The following is a 4,798-nucleotide window of genomic DNA, read 5'->3' on the forward strand; positions in this document are numbered from 1 at the left end:
CTGTAAGCATCACTGCAGTTATATTTTGGCTTGCATAGGGTAAATCAGTTTACAACAATTGTGTCGTGTACAGATGGATTTAAAATCATGAATCAGGCTGTGCTAAATCATGTGAAAAGTGTTTGAATGAAAACATTAATTACATCTCATAGGTAAACATCAAAGAAACTAGACAAGTCATGCTTTTGTTTTGTTTAATACTAGAAATGTCAGAGCTACTTGACTACAAATTCCCTGGGGCTGCTTTGTTTTGTCATATTTCATCTCCTGTACAACTTCATGAACATTTAGGTTGTTGCTCTATGATTTAAAAATAATGATGAAGTCAAAGTGTTTTTTTTTTTCCCAAGCTCTTGCTAAAACTTTAATATAGCAACTTAGGGGCCCACTGGAATAAAAGGTAGTGTCCTGTTCAATATATTGTGAGTGCTCAGGTGCCTATTGGATAGAATTAAATCCATGGAATAAAAGATAAGCCAGCAACAAGTCACAGACTAGTAAACAATACAAGATGCAAGTGAGGTTTATTCTAGAATTAAGTGGATTTTCTATTTGGAATATTTTAAAAAGAATCAAATCAAAACAAAATAAACAAACAAAATTGTGTCATATGGTTTTAGATTAAGCTGTAGCTTTAAAATCGTTCAGTACTTACGTTGTTTTACAATTAGATAGAAGGTTATAAAAGATGCAATTTGTGTCTTCAAGGAGTTTACATTATAGTATTCATTTAATAAAGTTTTGAGCTCCTAGTAGAGGGATATGTTGAGCCACCCTGGCACTTTATTGGTATTTCTGAAAATTATGTTAAATCTGAGACATTAGGATATTTTTTATTTCTGATATTTGGTTATATATCATAAAAAGCTTAATTTTCTCTTTTGGCCTTAATAAATATATGTTCATAATTATATTTGGTTGAAATATTTACTGTTGTTTACCATCAATGGTTTCAAAATAATCATGAATGATTCATACTTTTAGTATATTTTAAAGCATAATTATAAGTGATTAATATTTATAATAACATCCTGCAGCCCCTAATGAAATTTGATTTGAGATTCACTAAAAGTTAAAGTTAATTTTGAAAATAACGTGAAAATTTCAAGTACAATAAATAAAATATTAATTAATTAATTTACATTACACCTGCTTATTTATAGATAGGTCAGTAAGATTTGCATATACTTTTCATGCTATTTGTTAAATTTGGCATTTGTCAAGGTAGAGTGGTCAATTTGGTGAAATGTTTTTTTCTGCAGTTGCTGAAATAATAGTTTGACTTAGTCAAGATGTATGATATTTTTATATATTGTTGGATTAAAATTGCTAATATTTCATTAAGGATATTTGCATCTGTGTTCCTAAAAAATATTGACCTGTAGCTATCTTTTCTTTCAATGACATCATAAAATGAGCTAAAAGGTAGTTCCTTCTTTATTTTCCAGAAGATTTTGTGTAGGTTTGGCACTATGTCCTTTTTCGTGTTGATAGACTTCAATAAAAAAGCCATCTGGACTCAAAGTTTCCTTTGAGGGACTATCATGAATTGCAGACTCAAGTTTTGTAAAACATATAGGGCAATTCAGCTTTTTTATTTATTCTTTGACAACTTTGACAACTTGCGCTTTCCAAGAAATTTGCAGTTTTCATGTAAGTAGTTGAATTTATTACCACAAAATTATTCACAATACAGCCTTTTTACACTGTAATGTCGGAATAATCTGAAGTGATGGTTTCTCTTAAATTTGATACTGTCCTTTTTATTTTGCTTTTTATCAGTCTAGCTAGAATGTTATAAATTTTGTTGCTTTTTTAACTATGAACCTGTTTTAGTTTCATTTTTTTCTTCTCTATTGCTTTTCTGTTTTCCATTTTGTTGACTTATACCCTCAGCTTTATTATTTCCTTCTTTCTACTAGCTTTAGATTGACTTTGATCGTCTTATTCTAGAGTCTCATGATGGAAGCTTAGGACATTGATTTTAGACCTTTTTTCTTTTCAGATATAAATATTTAAAGCTGTAACTGTCTTCTAAGCACTGTTTTAGCTGCGTTACACAAATATATCTTGGTGAATTTATTTTCATTTAATGCAAAATGTTTCCTAATTTTTTTATGATTTTCTCATATGAAATGTATTATTTGAAGGGTATTAATTTCTAAACATTTGTGAATAATCTAGATTCATTATTGTTTCTGATTTTAATTTGTATTCATTTCGATCAGAGAGCATGCTTTGTATTATTTCAAACTTTGTTCTCTGACTCCAAATATAATATACTTTGGTAAATGTTCCATAGGCAATTGAATAGACTGTGAATTCTGTTGTTAGCTATGATGTTCTACAAATGTCAAGTAGGTCAAATCGTTGATAGTGTTGTCTAGGTCTTCTATATGTTTATTAGTTATTGGTGTACTTCTACTGATTAATTTTGAATTGTTCAACAATTATTATGGATTTTTCCATTTCTCCTGAAAGTGGTCTCGAGTTTTTCTTCTTATATTTTGCTTTATTGTTTTGTATACACATATTTTGTATTTTTACATATTTTAAGAGTATACTTTTGAAACTAGTTATTTCATCACTAAACACTCCTTTATCTTAGTACTATATCATAACTGCCACTTTGTCTTACAATAACATGGTGAGTTTGGATGTCTCATAATCAGGGTTTAAACAATTTTTTCTTCCATTTGTAAAGTCTAAATTTTAATTTAAATAATAAGTGCATTTAATTGTAGACATCATATAGGTGACTTTTTATTATTTTTACTTTTAAATTACTAGAAAATCCCTTTGTTTCTCTTTTTCCAGGTATTACACTCTTGTAATACCCAATGTCCAATGTTATTTTTTTTTTTTTTTTTTTTTTTTGAGACGGAGTCTCGCTCTGTCGCCCAGGCTGGAGTGCAGTGGCGGGATCTCGGCTCACTGCAAGCTCCGCCTCCCGGGCTCACGCCATTCTCCTGCCTCAGCCTCCCAAGAGCTGGGACTACAGGCGCCCGCCACTACGCCCGGCTAATTTTTTGTATTTTTAGTAGAGACGGGGTTTCGCCGTTTTAGCCGGGATGGTCTCGATCTCCTGACCTCGTGATCCGCCCGCCTCAGCCTCCCAAAGTGCTGGGATTACAGGCGTGAGCCACCGCGCCCGGCTGTCCAATGTTATTTTTAAAATTGTGTTCATTTATTTATTTTTTTAATGATGAGAGGACAAATCTCCTGTGAGTTACTTCTTCATGACAGAGTAGAAGCCTTGTGTTTTATTTTTTAATTATAATTCAAGTAAAAATGTACTATATAATATTAGAAAACATACATTGTGAGACAAGTGAGGCAGAAATATGAATTTATGAGTAAAATATGATGCAAAATTCTAATGATTAGGGAGAAACATATTTATATTTAAAATGTGTAAGGGTGGATTTAAAAATCAATAGATATTTAGATTACTTTGGATGCTCTTTAAATTCTTACCTCAACATTTTATTTGACAATAGCAACACATACGATATTCTGGAAATTCTATCATTTTCATATATTTGAATTTATGATGACTTTTAAAATCAAGTTTAAATGTACTGTGGTTACATTAATTTTCCTCCTTCTTTTAAGGATACTTAACTGAAGACCACTGTGTACAAAAAAATGTTTTTGACAGGTAGCAACAAGATGACTTGTTGGAGGATATTTTACTTAAAGAATGAGTTGTAATCAAAGACAAGACAAAATGTGAAAATGAGTCTTTTACGTTCAGAGAACAGCAAGAAGCCCCAGTGTTCTGGTTTGAATTGACTGACTATGAAGGCAATAGAGGTATGTATACACACTCAGACACACATAAGATATACACACTTATATATTACACCACTATATATAAAAAAAATCTATATATCACTCATGTGACCATTTACACATGATTTTAGATTTTATTCTGTGATAAAGTGGATGCTAGTATAGGTCTTTGGGCAAAGAAAATACCATGATAAGATATTATCTACATAAAGATTAACTTAGTGATATACAAAAATGAATGTTGATGGGAAGAAGTGTAGGTAGAGAGATTATTGCAGTTATATAAGTACTGAGCTCTAGATCTGGGAGGAAGGCTAAGAATGAATGACAAAACTGTTTTGAACTTAAATATAGAAATTATAAATTTAAATTCAAGATTTTTTGTTTCTCATTTGAAAAATTATTATGAATAAAAATTTCTAGCAGAATTTTATAAGCAAATAATTTTTTGAATATTTAGAGGAGGATAGCAAATTGTTTCTAAAATTACATTTTATTGTATCTTGCTGTTCCTTTCATACAGTAAGCATAAAAATGTTTTGTGGCTGGGCGCGGTGGCTCACGCCTGTAATCCCAGCACTCTGGGAGGCCGAGGCGGGTGGATCACGAGATCAGGATATCGAGACCATCCTGGCTAACACGGTGAAACCCCATCTCTACTAAAAAAATACAAAAAATTAGCCGGGCGTAGTGGCGGGCGCCTGTAGTCCCAGCTACTCAGGAGGCTGAGGCAGGAGAATGGCATGAACCTGGGAGGCAGAGCTTGCAGTGAGCCAAGATCACGCCACTGCTCTCCAGCCTGGGCAACGAAGCAAGACTCCGTCTCAAAAAAAAAAAAAAAAAGTTTTGTTAGCCTACCCAGGCGACAGTCATTTTTCTCAGGTGACCCTGATTTATCTGGCTCTTGTAAGGCTTCAGGCATCAAGAAAAGTTTTGGTAGGCCTGAAGCCTTCTGGTAAAATTCCTGTGTGTTTGGTACTTAAATGCTTCAACTAAAATGAAT

General features: G+C 32.3%; 2 annotated features.

Moving 5' to 3' along the window:
* Positions 2,509–3,010: an enhancer, noted in NCBI's record as "H3K4me1 hESC enhancer chr5:103739859-103740360 (GRCh37/hg19 assembly coordinates)". NCBI's record gives its function as "activates a minimal SCP1, AML or CMV promoter by ChIP-STARR-seq in naive H9 embryonic stem cells {active_cell/tissue: H9 hESC(naive)}" and the evidence as "EXISTENCE:reporter gene assay evidence [ECO:0000049][PMID:30033119]".
* Positions 3,011–3,510: an enhancer, noted in NCBI's record as "H3K4me1 hESC enhancer chr5:103740361-103740860 (GRCh37/hg19 assembly coordinates)". NCBI's record gives its function as "activates a minimal SCP1, AML or CMV promoter by ChIP-STARR-seq in naive H9 embryonic stem cells {active_cell/tissue: H9 hESC(naive)}" and the evidence as "EXISTENCE:reporter gene assay evidence [ECO:0000049][PMID:30033119]".

This window comes from Homo sapiens, chromosome 5 (assembly GCF_000001405.40).
Source record: "Homo sapiens chromosome 5, GRCh38.p14 Primary Assembly".
NCBI classification, from domain to species: Eukaryota; Metazoa; Chordata; class Mammalia; order Primates; family Hominidae; genus Homo; species Homo sapiens.